The sequence below is a fragment of the Homo sapiens genome, chromosome 1 (genome assembly GCF_000001405.40).
Source record: "Homo sapiens chromosome 1, GRCh38.p14 Primary Assembly".
Lineage (NCBI taxonomy): Eukaryota > Metazoa > Chordata > Mammalia > Primates > Hominidae > Homo > Homo sapiens.
In genome coordinates this window covers 65,002,478-65,025,444 of record NC_000001.11, presented here as the reverse complement: position 1 = coordinate 65,025,444, position 22,967 = coordinate 65,002,478, and the positions used below count along the sequence as shown (strand labels likewise).

Sequence of the window (22,967 nt, the reverse complement as noted above, 5' to 3'; positions counted from 1 at the left end):
GTTGATTTTTAGTGAGGCCGTGGTTGGGAAGCACTGTAGTGGACATTTGCTAGTTTTTGACATCCCCGACATCCCTTTTCCTCCTATTTTGGTAAATGTATTCTAATTTCTCTCTGGATAACTCTCTCTCTTCCCCGACTTGGAATCCATGTTTCGGGTGGGCTCTAACCATTGCTTCGGGAATGGGATCTGTGAATCCCCCTAAATCAGTGTACCTATTCCTCTTGGCCACTGCAGTTTGGATTGGTCTGTAATCAGTCAGGACCCGTAAGTCTTTTTGCCAGTGCTTCTGTGAGCAAGCACTCTTCTCCTGTGGGCCTGAACCTGGAAGAACGTGTGGCTGGAGCTGCTATAGCCATCTTGCTGTTCTAATTGGTGAGGCCTATCCAAGAATGGGGCTCAGACAGTGAAAACAGAGCTAAGAGGGGAGAAGGAAGAAATCAGGTTCTGGTGTCACTTTTTTTTTTGAGACAGAGTTTCGCTCTTGTTGTCCAGGCTAGAGTGCAATGGCACGATCTCGGCTCACTGCATCCTCTACCTCCCGGGTTCAAATGATTCTCGTGCCTCAGCCTCCTGAGTAGTTGAGATTACAGGTGCCTGCCACCACGACTGGCTAATTTTTGTATTTTTAGTAGAAATGGGGTCTCACCATGTTGGCCAGGCTGGTCTCAAACTCCTGACCTCATGTGATCTGCCCACCTTAGCCTCCCAAACTGCTGGGGTTACAGGTGTGAGCCACCACCCCTAGCCTTTTTTTTTCTTTCTTTTTTTTTTTTTTTTTTTTGCTTTGGACCAGGCCATTCTTGAAGCCACAACTACCTCCAAGAACTTTCAGTTCTGTGATACAACAAGTTCCATTAATGCTTAAGCTAATAATGTAGGTTGGGTTTTCTGTTACTTTCAACTGCAAGAGGCTTACCTGTTACAACAGACTCTCTCAATTCAATTTCACCCAAGTTAAGAATCAATTAGGACTCAACAACAAAAAGACAAATGACCCAATTTAAAATGAGCAAATGTTATGAATAGACATTTCCCCAAAGAAGGTGTACAAGTAGCCAATAAACTCTTGAAAAGATGTTCAACGTCATTAATCATTAAGAAAATGCAAATCAAAACCACAATGAGATATAACTTTACACCCCCTAGGATGGCTGTAATAAAAAATATGAACAACAAGTGTTGGCAAGGATATGGAGAAATTAGAACCCTTGTACCTTGCTGGTAGGAATGTAGGTGGTACAGCCACTTTGGAAAACAGTCTGGCAGGTCCTCAAATGATTAAACATAGAGTTACCAGCTATTCTACTCCTAGGTATATACCCCCAAAACATGGAAATATATGGCCGCAAAAAGTTTTGTACAAGAATGCTCATAGTACTTGTATTCATAACAGCCAAAAATGGAAAACAACTCAAATGTCCAGCAATAGGAGATTGGATAAACACATTGTGATATATTCATACAAAGGAATACTACTCAGCAATAAAAGGAACGAGCCACTGGTACATGCAAAAAAAAAAAAAAAAAAGGATGAATCTAGAACCATGGTGAGTGAAAGACACCAGATGCAAAATAATAAATACGGTATGACTCCATTTACATGCAATCCCAGAGCAGGCAAACTAATCTATGGTGATAGGATTAGAAAGTGGTTCCCTCAGCAGGGTGCAGTAGCTCACACCTGTAATCCCAGCACTTTGGGAGGCCGAGGTGTGTGGATCATGAAGTCAGGAGATCGAGGCCATCCTGGCTAACATGGTGAAACCCCATCTCTACTAAAAATACAAACAATTAGCCTGGTGTGGTGGTGGGCACCTGTAGTCCCAGCTCCTCGGGAGGCTGAGGCAGGAGAATGGCATGAACCCAGGAGGTGGAGCTTGCAGTGAGCCGAGATTGTGCCACTGCAGTCCAGCCTCAAAAAAAAAGAAAGTGGTTCCCTCAGTGAGAAGGAAAGGGGGTTTGACTAGAAAGGGACAAGAGGATGAGACAACTTTCTGGAACTTTAGATGGTAGTTACATTAATGTGTACAATTATCGAAATCTGTTGGCCAAGCATGTTGGCTCAGGCTTGTAATACCAGTGCCTCAGGAGGCTGAGGTGGGAGGATTGCTTGAGGCCAGGAATTCAAGACCAGCCTGGGCAACATAGCTTGACAAAAATAAAAAATAAAAATTAGCCCAGTATGGCTACGTATGCCTGTGTCTCCAGATACTTGGGAGGCTGAGGTGGGAGAATCACTTAAGCCTAGGGGATTGAGGTTGCAGTGAGCCATGATCACTCCACTGTACTTCAGCTTGGGTGACAGAACGAGACCCTACCTCTAAAATTTAAAAAAAAGTCATTGAACCGAACCTTAACATCAGCGTATTAAATACTTCACTTAAAAATAATTAATAGTTGGAATGATACAGAGAAGATTAGCATGGCCCCTGTGTAAGGATGACAGGAAAAAAAATTCTATGTTTTAAATGTTTACTGCTTCCTCACTTTTCATGAGAAAAAAAGCATCCACTGAATTTATATGATCTAACAGGTGTGAAAAACTCCCTATCAAAAAATATCATTCCCCACCAACTTAAGAATAGACTGAATTTCCCCTGATTAGTTTCTCCTTTGATATACACATTGAAAGCCCTAAATAAAATGCTATATTAATTTTTCCCAATGAATATTTTAGCATGACACTAATGTATGAAGTTGGTTCTCCTCCCTCTTAGCAAGGTACTGCAACCCACTATTGACTATGTTAAAGTCTAAAAATAAAGAAGATAATAAAAGTAATAAAATGGTGATTACCTTCTTCAAGTTGCTTAGAAGTCTGAAGAGGCACCAACTCTTACAAACTAAATTTTCACTTTGGCTGACTCAGTCTCATTTCTTAATTTTTTCTTTACATCACCCCACCTCCCAGCCTTATGCCTCATCACTTACTACCTACTGATCAGTTTAATGGGCCTCAGAAAGGCTATGGAAATCCTAAAATGCAGAGTCATTTACAAACTTCCCTCACATGAGCCCTCCAATCCCTATGGGTGCACTGGAATATCCATTTTGTTGGTGATTTATGGGTTAGAAAGAGCCCTTAATTGCTTCACTAGCATGGACTTCTCTGTGACCAAGAAAAAATAAAAAAATAAAAAAATGGCAATGTGGGCTCCTTTGAGAGAAAGGAGAGGGGACATTACACAAGAAAAATGTTATTTTCCAATATCAAGAAAATTCATTAGCAAACACATTAAAATGCACTCAAGTAGTCATCACCCTGAATTGTTTTGGAAAAGGCCCTGCTTTGGAAAAACACAGGGCAAAAACATTACTCTTGTAGCTTGGCACAATGAGATGGCAGGATGACAAATGTCTTATTCTCTACTGTGCCTTAATATTTAGAGGACATCTGCTACTGTGTATTCCTCCCTCCCTTGAGTCACCTTTATCACAGTCTAACGTTGTGTTATTGCTGTTTCCCATGTCCACCTGTTACAGTGATAAGACACAGCTGTACTCCTCCAGTATGTGGGAAGCAAATGAGTCTGAAAGTCAGGAGGCTGAGCTTCTAGTTCCATTGTTGTACTAACTATGCACTCTTAGGCAAATATTGCAAATTCTCTTGGTTTTAGTGTCCTCTTCTAAAAAAATGGGAAGTATAATAGACATGGTTCCAATGAAATGGAAGCTAAGTCTTACCCCCAGGCATTAGGGGTTCCTTAGGTCATAGAACCAATATATAGAAAAGGGGTAATATATCCTTAACAGCAGTAATTAGATTGCTGCTACCTAGCGGGGATAGACAGGGAGAGCTATGTTTAGAACTCAGGGATTCAATGAACAACTTCTTAGCATTCCTTGGCCCACTGTTCTGGTGAATGGAAAAGTGCAGCCACCCAATAAAGACAAGATTATCAATGCCTCATATCCTACACGCAACGAAGTTTGGGTCTCTCCAAATCTACTTTGGAAAATAGGCAAAAGCATCTTTACTATGGGACAAGTAGCCTGGGACAAGGAAAAAGGTAAAACACATCCTGCTGAAGTGCCGATGGAAGGAAAGAACAGAAGTGGGAGGTGGAAGAAGGTAGCCTTGAGTACCAATGTACGCCTTGTCATCAGCTGCAGAAGCAGGGATTATAACAGCTATAATTTAAATCCCTTGGTCATTTCTCCTTCTCCCCAAACCTTGTATTTTAAAAGAAAAACACTGGAAGTGGCTACCACTTTAGATTCAGACGGACATGTGAACAACTTCTCATCACTTCGGATCTACTCTTTGCCCAGCTCCATTCTGCTGGGTTCTCTGGGTGGTTGACCTAAATGCATTGCATCCACAGATTCTCTTGTCTTCTGGCTTCTGGTTGGGTTCACCAACAAGGAGCACAGACAGAAGATTGGGAGAGGGAAGGGAGAGGAGCAAAATCAGGGTATTTATCCCCTTTGTATGCGGTCACTGTGGTGTGGACTGGCTCTGTCTTTCCACTAGAGGTCATAGCTCAAGTTGAGTAGCTCTCTCCACATAGCTCTATCTCCTGGTTCTAATAAAGGCTTTCTTTCCCTGCCCCAAAGGGTGGGAAAGGCACCCCAAGTTACTAGTTCTAGAGTATTTTGTTACCACATTTGAGCTCCTTAAACCCTGCCCACACCTTTGTAGATGGTCCTTTTAAATTAAACTCTTCTCAAATTACCAAATTTGTACAAATAATTTCTTTTCTAGTGGAGCCCTAACTAATATGGACAAGTTTCTTATAGGAACCACAAGTGGTAATTGTAAAATCAGATAAGATTTATTAAAATGTGTGTGAAGTTTCTTTGAAGAATATAATGCCTTTGTAGAAGTTCAAATGAGACATATGCAGTACATATAGAAAAGTGCATAAAGCATATATGTGCAGTTTGAATGATTATAAAATGAACATCTACATAACCAGTACTGTGATCCAGATATAAAATTTTGCTGCCTCCCCAGAAGCACAGTGAATCGTTTCCAGTTTCAAGCTACTCAGAACAATGATGCTGAGAAAATTCTTGTACTTGTCTGTAGTACACATTGCAAGAGTTTCTCTAGGACAGTGGTTCACAGTCTTTTGGTGATAATGTGGATTGGTGATGAGAGTTCTCATAGGCTGTTGCTGAGAGTATAAATTAGCACAACCACTTTGAAAGAGTGTGGCATTGTCTAACAGAACTAAAGTTATACACAGCTTTTTTTTTTTTTTTTTTTTTTTGAGACGGAGTTTTGCTCTTTTTGCCCAAGCTGGAGTGCAATGGCGTGATCTCAGCTCACTGCAACCTCCGCCTCCCGGGTTCAAGCGATTCTCCTGCTTCAGCCTCCCATGTAGCTAGGATTACAGGCATGCACCAGCACACCTGGCTAATTTTATACTTTTAGTAGAGATGGGGTTTCACCATGTTGGCCAGGCTGGTCTTGAACTTCTGACCTCAGATGATCTGCCCACCTTGGCCTCCCAAAGTGCTTTGATTACAGGCGTGAGCCACCACGCTCTGCCTTCTTCTTCTTCTTCTTCTTTTTTTTTTGAGACAGAGTCTCGCTCTGTCACCCAGGCTGGAGTGCAGTGGCATGATCTCGGCTCACTGCAACCTCTGCCTCCCGGGTTCAAGCAATTCTCCTGCTTTAGCCTCTCAAGTAGATGGGATTACAGGTGCCTGCCACCACACCTTGCTAATTTTTGAATTTTAATAAAGATGGGGTTTCATAATGTTGGTCAGGCTGGTCTTGAACTCCTGGTCTCAGGTGATCCACCCACATTGGCCTCCCAAAGTGTTAGGATTACAGGAGTGAGCCACCATGCCCGGCCTCACATCTTCTGACATAGCAACTTCGCTATTTTGCATGATGTTTGCTACAGATTTTCTGTAGGTACCCTATTTCACTTAAAAGTTTCCTTTTATTTCAAGTTTGCTGATTTTTAAAATTAAGAATACATATTGACTTTTTTTTTTAACCATTCACTTTTCCTAAATATATTGGGGGGGGGGTCATATGGGTTCTCTCCTTTATTCTATTAACATGACAAATTACATTGTTTCATTTTCAAATATTAAACCAATTTTGTATTCCTAGGATACACTTGCTTTTCTATATTATCTTTTTGTATTGCTGGATTCAGTTTGCTAATATATTGTTTCAGATTTTTTTCAACATACATCCATAGGTCAAATTAGATTGTAATTTTATTTTGACATAGTCTTCACATGAATTTTAGTGTCTTATGAGTTTGAGAGTTGTTCCTTCTTGTATGTGTTTATGTAATATTAAAATACTTTGTTCCTTAAAAGATTGGTGGAAGTCATATGAAAGGCTTCTGGTCCTGGAATTTTCTTTGTGGATTTTCTGTAAACGATTCAACTTATTTAATGATCATAGGATTGTTCGAGATTTTTGTTTTTGTTTTTTGTATTATTTTTATTTTTATTTTTTTGAGACGGAATCTCACTCTGTCCCCCACGATGGAGGGCAGTGGCGCGATCTTGGCTCACTGCAAGCTCCGCCTCCTGGGTTCACCCCGTTCTCCTGCCTCAGCCTCCCGAGTAGCTGGGACTACAGGCGCCCGCCACCACGCCCGGCTAATTTTTTCGTATTTTTAGTAGAGACGGGGTTTCACCGTGTTAGCCAGGATGGTCTCGGTCTCCTGACCTCGTGATCTGCCCGCCTCGGCCTCCCAAAGTGCTGGGATTACAGGCGTGAGCCGCCGGGCCCGGCCTTTATTATTTTTTTCAAATGCTCTCTTAGCAGAATCATGTTCATGTTTTTAAAATATCTTTATAAGGTTTGTTGATTTTTCCCCGATGAAATTAGTCCATATAGTGTACTTTGTCAAATGGATTAGATTTAAGTCATTCATTATATCCTTTTATTATCTTTCCAGTGTGTACAACATCTGGAGTAATATCCCCTTTTTCACTCCTGATAGCGTGTGTGTGTGTGTGTGTGTGTGTGTGTGTTCTCTCTCTCTCTCTCTCTCTCTCTGTATGTATGTGTGTCTCTCATTAGTTTCACCAAATATTTTACACCTTTTTTAGTCTTCTCAAAGAATCAACTATTGGCTTTATTGTTCCTGTTACATAGTTTTTCTATTTTACACATTTTTGTTCTTATTTGTTATCTCTTTCCTACTTCTTTATTTCTGTTTATCTTGCAGCTTATTTCTAATATCCTGAGGCAGATGCTTGACTTACTTACTTTTAGCCTTTTTTCTTTTCTAATATAAAATGTAAGGCTATAAATCAGCTCTGTAAACACTTTTTAGCTATTACCCTATATGTTTTTGATATGAAGTAATTTTTAAGTCACTCACACATTTTAAAAAGGCACAGTTCACAGCCAGGTGCAGTGGCTCACACCTGTAATCCCAGCACTTTGGGAGGCTGAGGCGGGAGGATCACCCGAGATCAGGAGTTCGAGACCAGCGCCGGCCAACATGGTGAAACCCCATTTCTACTAAAAATACAAAAATTAGTTGGGCCTGGTGGCAGACACCTGTAATCCCAGCTACTTGGGAGGCTGAGGCAGGAGAATCACTTGAACCCAGGAGGTGGAGCTTGCAGTGAGATCCTGCCACTGAACTCCAGCCTGGGCGACAAGAGTGAGAATCTGTCAAAAAAAAAAAAAAGGCAGAGTTCACAATTAAAAATTTTTTCCACTATGATTTCTTCTTTGACCCATGAGTTATTTAAAAGCATGGTTTTAATTTTCCAAACATGGAGATGCTCTGTTTACCTTTTTATTATTGATTTATAGTTAGATCACTTTAGGTCAGAAAACATCCTCTGTATTAATCCTTTAATATCTGTTGAGGCTTGTTTTAATGACTATGTATGAGTCCATTTTTGAAATATTCTGTGTGGACTTCAGAATTTTTTTCTGCAGTTGTTGAATGAAATATAGATAATCTCTATTAGATCAGTTTTATTAATCATTATTGTTTGAATCCTCTAATGATTTATTTTTATTTTTATTTTTTTGAGACAGAGTCTCTCTCTGTTGCCCAGGCTGGAGTGCAGTGGCGCAATTTCAGCTCACTACAACCTCCGCCTCCTGGGTTCAAGCAATTCTCATACCTCAGCCTCCCGAGTAGCTGGGACTACAGGCTGTGCCACCATGCCCAGCTAATTTTTATATTTTTAGTAGAGACAGGGTTTCGCCATGTTGGCTAGGCTGGTCTCAAACTCCTGAGCTCAGGTGGTTCACCTGCCTCGGAGGCCTCCTAAAGTGCTGGGATTACAGGTATGAGCCACCAGTCCTGGCCTATTTAATGATTTTTCTTGTTCTATCAATTATCGGGAGATGTATTTTTTAATTTCCCATATAATTGTAGATTTGTCTATTTCTCCATATGGATCTTCTGATTTTTCTCTTATATAATTTGTGGCTGCACTACTAGGTACTTATAAATTCAAAATTTTTATATTTTCCTAGTAAGCTGAAATTGTATTGTTAAGTGATTATCTTTATTGTTGTAATTTTAAAATTCTGATAAAATGTATACAGTAAAATTTGCCATTTTAAGTTTTTATTTATTTACTTATTTTTTTGAGATGGAGTCTTGCTCTGTTGCCCAGGCTGGAGGGCAGTGGCGCGATCTCGGCTCACTGCAACCTCTGCCTCTCGGGTTCAAGCAATTCTCCTGCCTCAGCCTCCCAGGTAGCTGGGATTACAGGTGCCTGCCACCATGCACGGCTAATTTTTGTATTTTTAGTAGAGACAGGGTTTCACACTTTGGCCAGGCTGGTCTCTAACTCCTGACCTCAAGTGATCCACCCGCCTCAGCCTCCCAAAGTGTTGGGATTACAGGCGTGAGCCACTGCACCCAGCCTATTTATTTATTTTGAGACAGGGTCCTATTCTGTTGCCAGGCTGGAGTGCAGTGGTGCAGTCAACCTCCTAGGTTGAAGTGATCCTCCTACCTTAGCCTCCGGAGTAGTTGGGACTACAGGCGCATGCCATCATGCTCAGCTAATTTTTGTATTTTTTGTAGAGACAGGGTTTCACTATGTTGCCCAAGCTGGTCTCAAACTCTGGTGCTCAAGTGATCTGCCCTCCTAGGCCTCCCAACGTGCTAGGATTACAGGCATAAGCCACCATGCTCGGCCCATTTAAACCATTTTTAAGGGTACAATTTAGTGGCATTACTTAGGTCCACAATGTTATACAACTACCATCGCTATCTACTTCGAAAACTTTTTCATCACCCCAAACTGAAACTCAGTAACTAGTAAGTAAAAACTCCCCAGGTCCCTTCTCCCCAGCCCCTGACAAACTTGCGTCTAGTTTACATTTCTACGAATTTTCCTATTTGAGATATTTCATGTCAGTGTAGTTATACAATATTTGTCCTTTTGCATCTAGCTTATTTCACTTAGCATATGTCTTCAAGGTTTATCTACCATGGGGCATCTATCAGAACTTCACTCCTCTTTATGTCTGAATAATATTCCATTGTATGTATATACCACATTTCGTTCATACATCTGGTTGGTACATGGGTTGTTTCCACCTTTTGACCATTGTAAATAATGCTACAATGAACACTGGTATACAAGTACTTGTTTGAGTCCCCGCTTTCTATTCTTTGGGATATATATATAATACTTAGGAGTGGCATTACTGGGCCATATGGTAATGCTATTTTTAGCTTTTTGAGGAATTGCCAAATTGTTTTCAATAATGATTTTTGGCTTAAAGTCTATTTTGTGTACTATTAACATAAAAATGCCAATTCTTTTGGAGTTATATTTCCGTTTTAAAATTTCAACCTGTTTGAATATCTATAAGTTTTCTCCAGTCCGAGAAGCTTTGTCTTTTAACTGAAGTATTTAATCCATTTACATTTTATTCATTTTAATTAACTGATATTAGTTACTAATATTTTAAATCTATCACTTTACATTTTGCTTTCTCTTTGCTTCACTTTTATATACTTCTTTTTCTCTTCTTTTTTGTATTATTTTTATTCCTTTTTTTAACTCTGTTTATAGGCTATATTCTGTCTTTATTATTTTTTAGAGTTTAGCCTAACATGTTTATATGTATATATCACCTATTAAGTAAAAAGTTAGTCACTAATGTTTTTCTTGTGCTAAATACCACAAAAACTAAACACCAACCTCATTGACTCTCTTCTTAATTTGCATGCTTTTATTTTTGTGTATTTATTTACTTTTTCATCTCATATGACATTGTTAATGCTGTGTTATGCACAATTTTGCATTGTTTAGATTTATTCATATATTTACCACTCTCTTTACTCTTCATTCTTTCTTGTACCTCAGAGCATCCATCTAGGATCTCATTCTTTCTTCCAGAATGACACCCTTCTGAATTCCTTTGTACAAAGGTCTGGATAATAGCAAAGTCTCTGTGTTTCTACTTGTTTTTGGAAATGTACATATTAATACTATGCCCTCATTCTTGAAAGATTTTTTTTCACTAAGAATAGAATAATATGGGCCGGGCGCGGTGGCTCAAGCCTGTAATCCCAGCACTTTGGGAGGCCGAGGCGGGTGGATCACGAGGTCAGGAGATCGAGACCTTCCTGGCTAACACGGTGAAACCCTGTCTCTACTAAAAGTACAAAAAAATTAGCCGGGCGTGGTGGCGGGCGCCTGTAGTCCCAGCTATTCGGGAGGCTGAGGCGGGAGAATGGCGTGAACCCGGGAGGCAGAGCTTGCAGTGAGCCGAGGTCGCGCCACTGCACTCCAGCCTGGGCGACAGAGAGAGACTCCATATCCAAAAAAAAAAAAAAGAATAGAATAATAGATTATTTATTATTTTCTTTCAACCCATGGAGTGTGTTATTGTATTGTCATTTGGCTTCCATTGCAGCTACTGAGAAGTTAGTGGTCCATCTCACTGCCATTCCTTTGATAATGATCTCCACACTTTCCCTGACCTCAAATTTTTTCCTTTGATGTTCATTAGTTTTATTGTGATGAATTTGAGTGAGAATTTTTCTTTCTTTTTCTCCTTTCTTTCCTTTCCTTTCCCTCCCTCCCATTCTCTCTTTCTTTCTTTTCTTTCTACCTTCTTTCCTTTTCCTCCTTTTTTCCCTTTCCTTCCCTCCTTTGTTCTTTTTCTTCTTCTCCTTCTCTCCTGCCCACCTTTCTTCCTGGGATTTGTTTGGCCTCTTGAGTATGTGAATTAATTTCATTAATAGGTTCTGGAAAAGTTTAGGCCAGTATTTCTTCAAATACTGTTTCTGCCATATAATCTCTGGTCTTCTAGTGCTCTAATTAAATATATGTTAGACTTTCTCACTCTATCTTCTATGAATTTTAATTTCTCTTTCATATATTGTATTTCTTTAAATTTCTATGCTTCATTCTGTAAAATCTTGTGACCCAACCTTCTTGTTCTCTAATTCTCTTTTCAGTTGTATGTAATATGCTGTTAAGCTGTTGGTTTTTGTTTTGCTCTCAATCTCAGTAATGGTAAATTTTATTTCTAGAAGTTTAATTTTATTGTTCTTAAAAATTTGTTGGTCACTTTTTGTAGTTTCCAGTATCTTGAAGATATTTTCAAGCTCATCTTTTATTTCTTTAACAATAGTAGGCATAATTTTATAATCTGTGTCTGATAATTCCAGCATCTGAAATCTTTTTGACTCTGTTTCTACTCTTTCATTTCTTCTAGCTCTCATACGTGATGCTTATTATGTATGCTTAGTTGTTTTTTTTACCAGTACTGCTTGTTAACCTTGAAAACTTATTTGTGTAAATACATTGAGGCCCAGGATGAGGGTAACTTCTCAAAATGGATTTGTATTTGTTCCTTTGCTTCCTAGGGACGTCATCAATATGGCACCAAATTAAATGAAATTTGTGGCTTGAATTCTTTTGGACCACCCTGTGGTTATAACTTCAATAATGCCAGCAAGTGATTACAAATTTTCAGAGATGAAATTGTTTCCTCATTGTACTGGTCAGCAGCAGTCCCTTTAGGGTAGAAATTTGGGGAAAATGTAGCCTTTGAATTCCAATTCCATTGATGGATTTTCTTTTTTTGTTTCGGTTTTTGTTTTTTTTGTTTTTTTTTTTTTAGACAGAGTCTTGCTCTGTTGCCCAGGCTGGAGTGCAGTGGCATGATCTTGGCTCACCGCAACCTCCGCCTCCTGATTCATGTGATTCTCCTGCCTCAACCTCCTGAGTAGCTGGGATTACAGGTGCATGCCAGCACGCCCGGCTAATTTTTTATATTTTTAGTAGAGATGGGGATTCACCATGTTGGCCAGGCTGGTCTCAAACTCCTGACTTCAAGTGATCTGCCCACCTCAGCCTCCCAAAGTGCTGGGATTACAGGTGTGAGCCACTGCACCGGCCTTTTTTTTTTTTTTTTTTTGAGACGGAGTGTTGCTCTGTCACCCAGGCTGGAGTGCAGTGGCACGATCTTGGCTCACTGCAAGTTCCGCCTCCCAGGTTCACGCCATTCTCCTGCCTCAACCTCCAGAGTAGCTAGGACTACAGGTGCTCGCCACCACGCCCAGCTAAACCAGTTTTGTATTTTTAGTAGAGATGGGGTTTCACCGTGTTAGCCAGGATGGTCTTGATCTCCTGACCTCGTGATCCGCCTGCCTTGGCCTCCCCAAGTGCTGGGATTACAGGTGTGAGCCACCGTGCCTGGCCTTTTTTTTTTTTTTTGAGACAGGGTCTTACTGTGTCACTCAGGCTGGAGTACAGTGGTATGGTGCAAACATGGCTCAGTGCAGCCTTGAACCCCTGGGTTCAAGTGATTCTCCTGCCTCAGCCTCCCCAGTAGCTGGGGCCACAGGTGCACACCATCATGCCTAGCTAATTTGGTGAATTTTCTTTTGTACTTTCCTTCTTAGGAGATAGAGGCTCAAATTGGCTGTATTGGCAAATGTCCTCAGGGCAAAAGTGGCTTCAGTACTCAGTATACCTTAGATTTTGTCCTGCTAATTCCTTACTGTCTTATTAGTACTTTGATACTTCTAATCTTATTTCTAATAATTATTTTAATATTTGATACTCTATCTTCAATCTAACATTCTTAGTTTGTCAGTTTCCATAGTCAGGTGACTGAGGTGAGCTGTCCTAGGCTGGCTCCTGGACTGGTGTCCACTAAGGCCTCACGGGTGCTCTTTATGGTCTTCTGTTGGTATCTTTGCTTAGTAGCTGGGGTATTTCCTAGGATGGTCCTTTTTCTCTACTTGGTCAGGACCTCAGACCTCAGACCTCAGATGACTCAGGCCACCATAGTTCTCACCAGCATTATAGGCCTCTTTGAGTCTCTGCCACAGCTTCTGTTCAACAACTTCCTCTCCACTTTGCTGTGGGGTCACTTCAACCTCCCCATGACAGAGCTGTTGTCTCTCAGCTGAGCCAGGTTCTGTGTTTTCCATCAGAGATGCAGGAACATCTGAGTGCCTTTCACACCACACAGGAGCTAACAGGCGCCCAAACTGGGCCCTCTTTTCCTGACTACTCTATTTTGCTCTCTTTCCTCTTCTGGGCCTACCCAATTGTACTGCTGACTCACCTTAACTAGCGATTTCCTTCTGGAATCCCAAATGGGAAACAGAAGAGAAGCCCCTCAGGCCTTAGCCTTCAATCAGTCTGAAACACCTTCCTTCCCTGGGATTTACTCCTGGGATCAAGAGAACTTTTCATTACCTAGTTTTCCTAACTCCACTCCCCTTCTTCTCCCTGCCATCCACTAGAACAGGAAGAGGTTCAGACATTCTACTTCCTCAATGTCCTACCCTTGCTCCATCCTGGGACAGCAAGCTCAGTGGTCTAGTCATCACAGGTGAAAAAATATGTCTCCTTATACTATAAAATAAACTATGATCTAGTTTACCAGGTATAACCTTCGATATGTCAGTGGTAGTAAAAGGAATCTGGAAAATATATTTTCTCACCTTTTTTCTGGCTTTCTAAGTAACTATTTCAATGAAAAGTCCTATTTTGGATATCGGAAGCTGGTTTTTTGTTTTTTGTTGGTTGTTGTTTGTTTGTTTGTTTTTTGAGACAGGGTGTTGCTCTGCCACCCAGGCTGCTACAGCTTCGATCTTCCGGGCTCAAGTGATCCTCCTGCCTCAGCCTCCCAAGTAGCTGGGACTATTGGCATGCACTACCACACCCAGCTTATTTTTCCATTTTTTGTAGAGATGAAGTCTCATGATGTTGCTCAGGCTGGTCTCAAACTCCTGAGCTCAAGCAGTCCTCCCGCCTCGGCCTGCTAAAGTGCTGAGATTACAGGCATAAGCCACCGTGTCCAGCCAGAAGCTGATTTTTAACTCTTCCTTTTAAAATTTTTGCTTTGACAGTTCTAATCCCACCCTCCACACACTGCCCCCAGGCAAATGAATGCTTTTGGTCTACTAAAGAAAAGATCATATACATGAAAATGAAAAAGAAAAAAGCACATTAATATGTTTCATAAATATTCAAGTTGTGAATATAAACATATCTATTATTATTATTTTAGAGACAGGATCTGTCTCTGTTACCCAGGTTGGAGTGCAGTGGTGCAATTATAGCTCACTACAGCCACAAAGTGGCTGGATGGCCTTGAAGTGGGAGAATAGCTTCTTCCCACCTCAGCCTCCCAAGTAGCTAGGACTACAGGCATGCCACCACGGCTGGCTAGTTTATTTACTACTTTTTTTTAAGAGACAGGGTCTCACTATATTGCCCAGCTGGTCTCAAACTGCCAACCTCAAGCTTTGGCCTCCCAGAATGTTCGGATTACAGGTGTAAGCCACCATGCCTGGCCACCTATTTTTTTAAATAAAGAATATTTGTATTAGTTATCTATTGCCATGTAACAAATTGCCCCAATGTTTAGTGACTTCCAACAATGAACAGTTATTATTTTACAGTTTCTAAAGGTTATACATTTGGTAGGAGCTTAACTGGACGATACAGTCCAGAGGAAAGCTGGGCTGCAGTCATCAGAAGGCATGACTGAGGCCGGAGGATCAACTTCCAAGCTCACCCACGTGGCTATTAGCAGGAGGCTTTAGTTTCTTGCTGGCTGTTGGCTGGAGGCCTCAGTTTCTCAACACATAGGCCTCTCTGCATGATGTGGCAGCCGGTTTCCCTCAGAGCAAGTGTTCTGAGGGCAGGAGGATGGATGGAGGAAGGGGGAGAGAGAGAGAGAGAATGAGCGTGCGAGAGAGAGCGCAAGCATAAGAGAGAACAGGAAGCCACAGTGCCTTGTATGTCTTAGTCTCTGAAGTCACACAATGTCACTTTTGCTTTATTCTATCCATTAGAAGTGAGTCACTAAATCCAGTCCATACCCAAGGGGAGGGCAATTAGACTCTTCCTCTTAAAGGGAGTGCCAAAAAATTTGTGGACAATTTAAACCACCACAGCATTCAAAATTGCCCACTTCCTGTGTGCCAAAGTACAAAACTAGGATATATCAGCAACAAAATGGGGATTCCTTGCATGATGGAGTCGAAAGTCTAGTGGGTACATGAACATGAAAATAATCCATTGCAGTACACTAAGATAGAGCTCCTAGTTTTCTCTCATGTGACATGGGGGACAGTAGGTGCTTGAGGGCACAGGAGTCAATACAAAAATGCTTTTGCATAAGTGTAATTTAGCAAAGGGGATCAAGACCTGAGATGTAAGAGCCAGAATCCCAGCTCTGCCACTTACTGGCAATGTGACCATGGGCCAGTAACTCTTCCTCTCTGTACTTCAGTTTCCTCATCAGTAAGATGGGAGAATAACAGTATTTATCTGATAGGGTCTTTGTGAGAATTAAATGAGTTAGCATATGTAAAAGGCTAAACATGTGTCTGGATCATAGCAGGTGTTAGTTATTAATTGTAAACTGCAAGCCACTTCAGAAATGGCAGTATTATTATTCTAATTTTGAAACTAGGTACATGTCCTTTTCCCTGTCTTATTGAAAATGGAATTAACTTTCTTCCTAATTTAATTATTTTTCATTTCCAGTAAGTTTCCCGATGTAATTTAATTTTTAATGATACATTTGTACTTTTTTCTTTTTAAGCATGTAACATATGTCATAAAATGTAAATGTCACTCTTTACCTCCACCCCCACCTGCTCATCAATTCCACTTCCTTCCCCAGAGGAAACCACTTTAGCAGTTTCATGAATGTTTTTTTAGAAATGTTTCTGCCTATTTAAAAGCTATGCATTTTTGAAATATTTTAACATAAATGGAATCAAACTATGCATATCATTCTACTTGATTTTTTCTGTAATTAACAGATCTTTTCATCTTAGTGATTATAGCTTTACATCATTCCTTTTAATTTAATTTAATATTAAATTCTATAGGATGGCTATACCATAGATGCTTTAACCATTCTTCTGTCGGTGGACATTCCGGTTGTTTCTAACATTTTATTATAAACAACTGTGTAGTGAACATAAGCATTTAAATATATTTCCTAACCTTCAAAGACTTTGTGAATATATTTTCAATTAAGACTTGTTACAAGGGCCATGTGCAGTGGCTCACGCCTGAAATCCCAGCACTTCTAGAGGCCAAGACAGGTTTGCTTGAGCCCAGGAGTTTGAGACCGGCCTGGGCAACATAGGGAGACCCCTGTCTCTACAAAAAATTTAAAAATTAGCCAGGCATGTGGCATGCACCTGTAGCCCCAGCTACTTGAGAGGCTGAGTTGGGAGGATTACTTGAGCCCAGGCAGGTTGAGGCTGCAATGAGCTGTGATCATGCCACTGCACTCCAGCCAGGGCAACTGAGTGAGACCCTGTCATAAAAAAGAAGGAGAAGGAGAAAGAGAAGGAGAAGGGGAAGGGAAAGGGGAAGAGGAAGGCGAAGGGGAAGGGGAAGGGGAAGGGGAAGGGGAGCAGGACTTATTATATGAACCTGTACAGCTGTAAGGAAAAGTCAGTGGGGCATGCTGGCTCATGCCTGTAATTTCAAACTTTGGGAGGCCATAGTGGGAGGATCACTTGAGGCCAGGATTTTAAGACCACCCTGAGAAACACAGTGAGACTCTGTCTCTTAAAGAAAAAAAAAGAAGTTCATAGAAAATTTAAACCTTTTAGTTTGACATTCAGGAATTTCTCTAATGTGACCTCAAACTATTTCTCCAATTTAATCTCTTAGTACTTTTGCATAAATTCCATATGTATCAAGCTGCAAATTGCCCTACTCAATGTTACTAGGACACACCATACACATTTCTGCCTTCAGGCTTTTGCCCGGGCTTTTCTCCTTGCTTTCCTGCTCCCCTGGGCTTTTCTCTCCTACACTTCCGTACTGGGTGATCATTGGGTGGTCTGTCCATCCCATACGGGTGGCTTCCTGGATTTCTACCCTAATCCCAATTGGTTGGATCAGGGGTTGTCACCAAACTCAAGCTGTGCTAATCACAATCTAAATTCCCTGGGAACTTAGAAATAAGAAATAAGAGGCCAGGCATGGTGGCTTACACCTGTAATCCCAACACTTTGGGAGGCCAAGGCAGGCGGATCACCTGAGGTCAGGAGTTCGAGACCAGCCTGTACAACATGGTAAAACCTGTCTCTACTAAAAATACAAAAATTAGCTGAGTGTGGTGGTGTGCACCTGTAGCCCCACTTACTCAGGAGGCTGAGGCAGGAGAATCACTTGAACCCAGGAGGTGGAGGTTGCAGTGAGCCAAGATCATGCTGTTGCACTTCAGCCTGGACGACAGAGCAAAACGCTGTATCAGAAAGAAAAAAAAAAAACATACCTATAATCCCAGCACTTTAGGAGGCCGAGGTGGGCGGATCACCTGAGGTCAGGAGTTCGAGACTAGCCTGACCAACATGGAGAAACCCTGTCTCTACTAAAAATACAGAAAAATTAGCTGGGCGTGGTGGCATGCGCCTGTAGTCCCAGCTACTTGGGAGGCTGAGGCAAGAGAATTGCTTGAACATGGGAGGTGGAGGTTGCGGTGAGCTGAGATTGCACCATTGCACTCCAGCCTGGGCAACAAGAGCATGAAACTCCATCTCAAAAAACAAAACAAAACAAAACAAAAAACAACAAAGAAAGAAATAAGAGTAGGGGTCAGCCTCTCTCCAGGTGACCAGACTCGGGTCACCACAGGAGTGATGTGGTGGTTATCTGATCCATGGGATCCAGACACACAGCCAAAGTTGCCTGACAAAGAACAAGAATAAGACAGACCTACAGAGAGAAGACAAGAGACCAAGTCTGGATATTTCTCCAGTATGGCACCCGGATCTTCTTCCTTTCGGGAACCCACCTACAGGCCTGCCTTGGGTTCTGTCAGATACTGGGCTTCCTGAAGCTGTCTTTGTCCTATTTACATTCATAAAAGTGAGTCTGATTGTGTCTTCCTTTAAGCGCTTATCCAGTTACTTTTGATCTGTGAAGGCTTCCTTGACCACCCAAGCCCCAAGCTAAACTTGTTTGCTTGGCTATTAGGTCCACTCAGTTGGAACTTAAACTACTCATTTTCATCACTTTGTTTCAAAATCATGATTATCTGACATTACTGGGCAAACAGGAACTGTAGATAAGATAAGGATTAACATTTTTTTCCTTTTAAAAATGTTAATCATCTTAGATGGAACTTTTTAAGGCAGATGACAAAACTTACTTAGCTTATTAAATTGAGTGCATTACTATTTAATAATGTCTGGATGAATCAACGTAAATATTATGAAGATAAAATATTTTATATACAAGGCGTAATTCAGTGAATCTACAGGTTCAGCTAATATGGTAAGTACCTGCTACTGAAACAACAAAATAAGACCCCTGTTTGAGAAAGGGAAATATGAAATCAGATATATGAGTTCCCCTTTAAGAATGGAAACTGGGTTGGGTGTGGTGGTTTATACCTGTAATCCCAGTGCTTTGGGAGGCCAAGACAGGAGGATTATTTGAGGCCAGGTGTTCAACACAGCAAGACCCCATCTCTACAAAAAATAAACGAATTAGCCATGCATTGTGGCAAGCACCTGTAGTCCTACCTACTCAGGAGGCTGAGGCAGGACGATCCCTTGAACCCAGGAGCTCAAGGTTACAGTAAGCTATGAGAGTACCACTGCACTCCAGCCTGGGCAAAAGAGTAAGACCACATCTTTAAAAAATAAAAAAGAAGAAACAATAGAAGCCGTTTTAATTAAAGAAAAGCCATGAAGCAAATCACCTAGACCTAAAGATATTTTCAAATTCAGATACTGTCTGGTAAAATATTTCAGTCTGTGTGGATGGGAAAGCTAAGTTTATGACATAGTGAACTATTCAAAAAACCTTAAGAGATTCATCAATTAGTTTACCAAATACAATTTGAGTTTACCAAACTCAACTCTCCATTATAAGGAACAGATACTTCTATATTATTTCTTCACACTTATGTGAAGAGATAAAATCTCTCTTGCTTAGAAAGCCCATATTTATTGTTTACTTCTATATTAGTGTAGACATCAAGGTTAGTGAAACATTTAATTGTGAGATGTCCTAAAATGGGTGTGACTGGTGTCTGAGCATGAGAGTTCACAAATTATATTTATCTTAATTATTATGACTTTTAAAATTTTAATATCTGGAATGGCAACTTATTCTTCTGCAAGATCATCTTATTATAACTTATTCTTCTGCAAGACCATCTTGGCTAATTTTGGCCCTTTGCACTTCCATATACATTTTATAATTAAGTTGTCAAGTTCCATCAAAAAGTCTGCTGGGATTTTAATTGGAATTGCAATCAAATCTATAGGTCAATTGGAGATAACTCACATATTTTTAAAGAATTAATTGATTTTCCCTCTTATTTCTAGTTGACATAGTACATATTTATTGGATACAATGATATTTCAGTACATGTGTACAATGTGCAATGATCAAATCTGGGTAATTAGCATATCCATCACCTTGAAAGTATATCATTTATTTGTGTTGTGAACATTCAAAATTCTCTCTTCTAGCTTCTTGGAAAAAAATACATTAAATTATTGTTACCCGTATGCACCCTATAGTGCTATAGAACACTAGAACTTATTCCTTTCATCCAGCTGTAAATTTGTATTTGTTATGTAACCTCTCATCATCTTCCCCTCCCACTACCCTTCCCAGCCTCTAATAACCACAGAAAATTCACTTTTTTTTTTTTTTGAGATGGCGTTTTGCTCTTGTTGCCCAAGCTAGAGAGCAATGGCGTGATCTCGGCTTACTGCAACCTCCACCTCCTGGGTTCAAGTGATTCTTCTGCCTCAGCCTCCCCAGTAGCTGGGATTACAGGTGCGTGCCACCATGCCCTGCTAATTTTTGTATTTTTAGTAGAGATGGGGCTTCATCATGTTGGCCAGGCTGGTCTTACAGTTTTCGTTTGATAAAATGCTTTTTGTTTGTTTGTTTGTTTCTTGAGTTCAGATTCAGTAGCCTGGTATAATGACAAACTAGAAATCACAGTATGGGAAAAATATAGGAGATGATGCTTTGATTTCAGGAATATTGTGGATTATCAAACTAAAATTAGCAGATTCTATTTAGCCTCTTAGAATTTCAAAAATTTTTAGACATTAGTATACATCCCCACCTTCACGATATCAGAAATAAAGGGTAGTGAAGATAGCAGAGTGAAATATGAGAATTGTCTCCATTTCAGAAGGTATTTGGCTGAAATGAGACATTTCACAATTTGGTCTTCTGGTCTGCTCATCACTGGAAGTCCCAGCTTCTTCCTGGATAAGAAGTTGTACTTGGATTATATTATTATAACCACATTGTAATTATTATTGTGGAAACACCACAGACAACACGTAAAAGAATTTTTAGTCATAATCCCTACTTATAGTCTTGATTCCTTTGATCTTCACATCTACTTGTTTTGCAATTTTGGTTCCTAAATCAGACATTTGGTATAGTTGGTCAGCCTAGAAACGTCAAAGACAAAAGCTGTCTAGCTATTTGCAAGATTGTCATTGAAGTCCCTTGTGTTTGCACAGATTGCATCTGTCTATTCTGAAAGATGAGCAACAAATCCAGTCAAAGCCTGAGTGAAATAACTGACAATCTTAGATCAACCCTGATGGTCACTCACGAGTCCAGCAGTTTCTATGCAGAGCACCAAACACCTTACTTACAAAAGTAAGGTTAGTGGGAGCTTGGTATTTTCCATATCATCTTGGAGAAGCACTGTTTTGCTTATTCTGTTTTTCCTCCTCCTCCTCTTCCTCCTTTTCTTCACATATTTTGTGTGAATAAGAAAGTACTATTGGCTAGGCAGGTTGGCTTATTCCTGTAATCCCAGCACTTTGGGAGGCTGAGGCGGGTGGATCACCTGAGGTCAGGAATTTGAAACCAGCCTGGCCAACATGGTGAAACCCCGTCTCTACTAAAATACAAAAATTAGCCAGGCATGGTGGTGCACACTTGTAATCCCAGCTACTCGGGAGGCTGAGGCAGGAGAGTCAGTTGATCCCAGGAGGCAGAGGTTGCCATGAGCTGAGATCGCGCCGCTGCACTCCAGCCTGGGCGACAGAGCGAGAATACGTCTCAAAAAACAAAACAAAACAAAAAAGTGTTATTTATAGGAATAAGAACTAAAATGCCTTGTTAATATATTGTTTTGGCATTGCCAAATTTAGCCTATTTGAGTGCATGGATTGCATTTGGGGATTGCTGTTTTCTTTTTTGTTTTGTATGTTTGCTTTAGATGCGTAGACAGAGGGAGTGGAGTAAGGCTTTACAGAGATTACTACAGAAGGCATTTTTTTTTTTCATAAAGAGGGGAAAACGCACCCATCTCATAACAAGAATTTGGAGTCAAAACGAGACAGATTCCATTCCTGCCTTCCACATTAATTAGCTAGGTGACTTTGGGCAAATCACTTAACCTCTAGGTTTTCTCATCAGCAGAATGAAAGCGTTGGCCTATAGACACCCATTTAAATCCCTCCTCCAAATACTCATTCGTTCGATATTTTCTCAGTGTCTACTAAGCACAATCATTGTTAATAAACACTATGATTCTTGGAGAGCTCCAAATCGTGTCTCTGCTTTTAAGCATCATTCCCCTTCCTCCTTTAAAACCAGCGCCTGACTTCTCCCCCAAACAAATCGAAACACTTTTACCGTCTGAAAATGTACATGGGAAAAGAAACGCGTTTCATTGCAGTCACCCGGCGCCAACCTAGACCTGGCGGGCCAGCGAGCTCGTGAGATTTTCTTTCTTTCTAAAGGACAATCTCCACATTTTAAAGGGCAACCCAGTTACCCGAAGAAATACAACTTAAAGGGCGCCTGGAGCCAGGCCGGGACACCCACCCACGCTTTTCTAGGCTGAGGAAACCTGGGAAACTTTTGGGCTCCCGCCGAGTCACGCGGCTGTTCCACGGTAAGAATTGTGCAATGGGGCGAGTCAGGCGGGCGTCCTAGTAGGGAAGAAGCGGGGGAGGCTGCTGCGGTGCCAATGCTTTTCTTAAAAAAAAAAAAAAAAAAAAAGCTAGGTTGTCTCACGCCGTGCGAGGCGCGACGGCGCGGCCGGACAGCCCGGTTCCCGCTGGCCCCAAGCCCGGGCCAAGAAAGCATCGCTTCCCCGCCGGGACCTGGAAGGAGCAGCGCGTGCGTGCGTCCCCTCCCGGGGGCAGAGACTGCCCGCCCGCCACAGCGCTTTCCTGGGACTCTGCGAGGGGCCGGGGTGCGAGCGGGAACTGCGGCAGGCGCAGACTGGCCACATCGATCGTGGCGGGGAAGTCCGGGCTCGCGCTTTCGGTAAGAGCGCCCGGGCTTCCAACTGCGCGGTGCCCCCGCCTCCGCCGCCGCCGGCCAGGCTCGCACTTTCGGATGGTGACGCATCCAGCTGGCTCCGCGGAAGCCTGCGCTGAAACCTGGAGCCCTCCGGGGTGGCCTACTCCTCAGCGCTGCGTTACTGAGCGCTCCCTGGGTGCAGGCTTGGTGATCCAAGTTTGGTCACAGTCATCACTTATGTCACTATCCTTGTGATGTACATACTATAATTAGCGTCACTTAGAAGTGAG

The 22,967-nt window shown here is 41.4% G+C and overlaps 1 protein-coding gene and 1 pseudogene across 4 annotated transcripts in view, besides 2 other annotated features; both read left to right on the top strand.

The window, feature by feature from the left end:
• The window catches only part of JAK1 (Janus kinase 1), a 234,518-nt gene that overhangs the window by 42,302 nt on the left and 169,249 nt on the right, over nucleotides 1-22,967 (top strand). The gene's annotated exons all lie outside the window — the stretch shown is intronic.
• On the top strand, nucleotides 2,371-2,477 carry RNU6-1176P (RNA, U6 small nuclear 1176, pseudogene; annotated as a pseudogene).
• Nucleotides 22,604-22,743: a silencer, noted in NCBI's record as "silent region_960". NCBI's record gives its function as "represses an Ori minimal core promoter by ATAC-STARR-seq in GM12878 lymphoblastoid cells {active_cell/tissue: GM12878}" and the evidence as "EXISTENCE:reporter gene assay evidence [ECO:0000049][PMID:35858748]".
• Nucleotides 22,874-22,953: an enhancer, noted in NCBI's record as "active region_1140". NCBI's record gives its function as "activates an Ori minimal core promoter by ATAC-STARR-seq in GM12878 lymphoblastoid cells {active_cell/tissue: GM12878}" and the evidence as "EXISTENCE:reporter gene assay evidence [ECO:0000049][PMID:35858748]".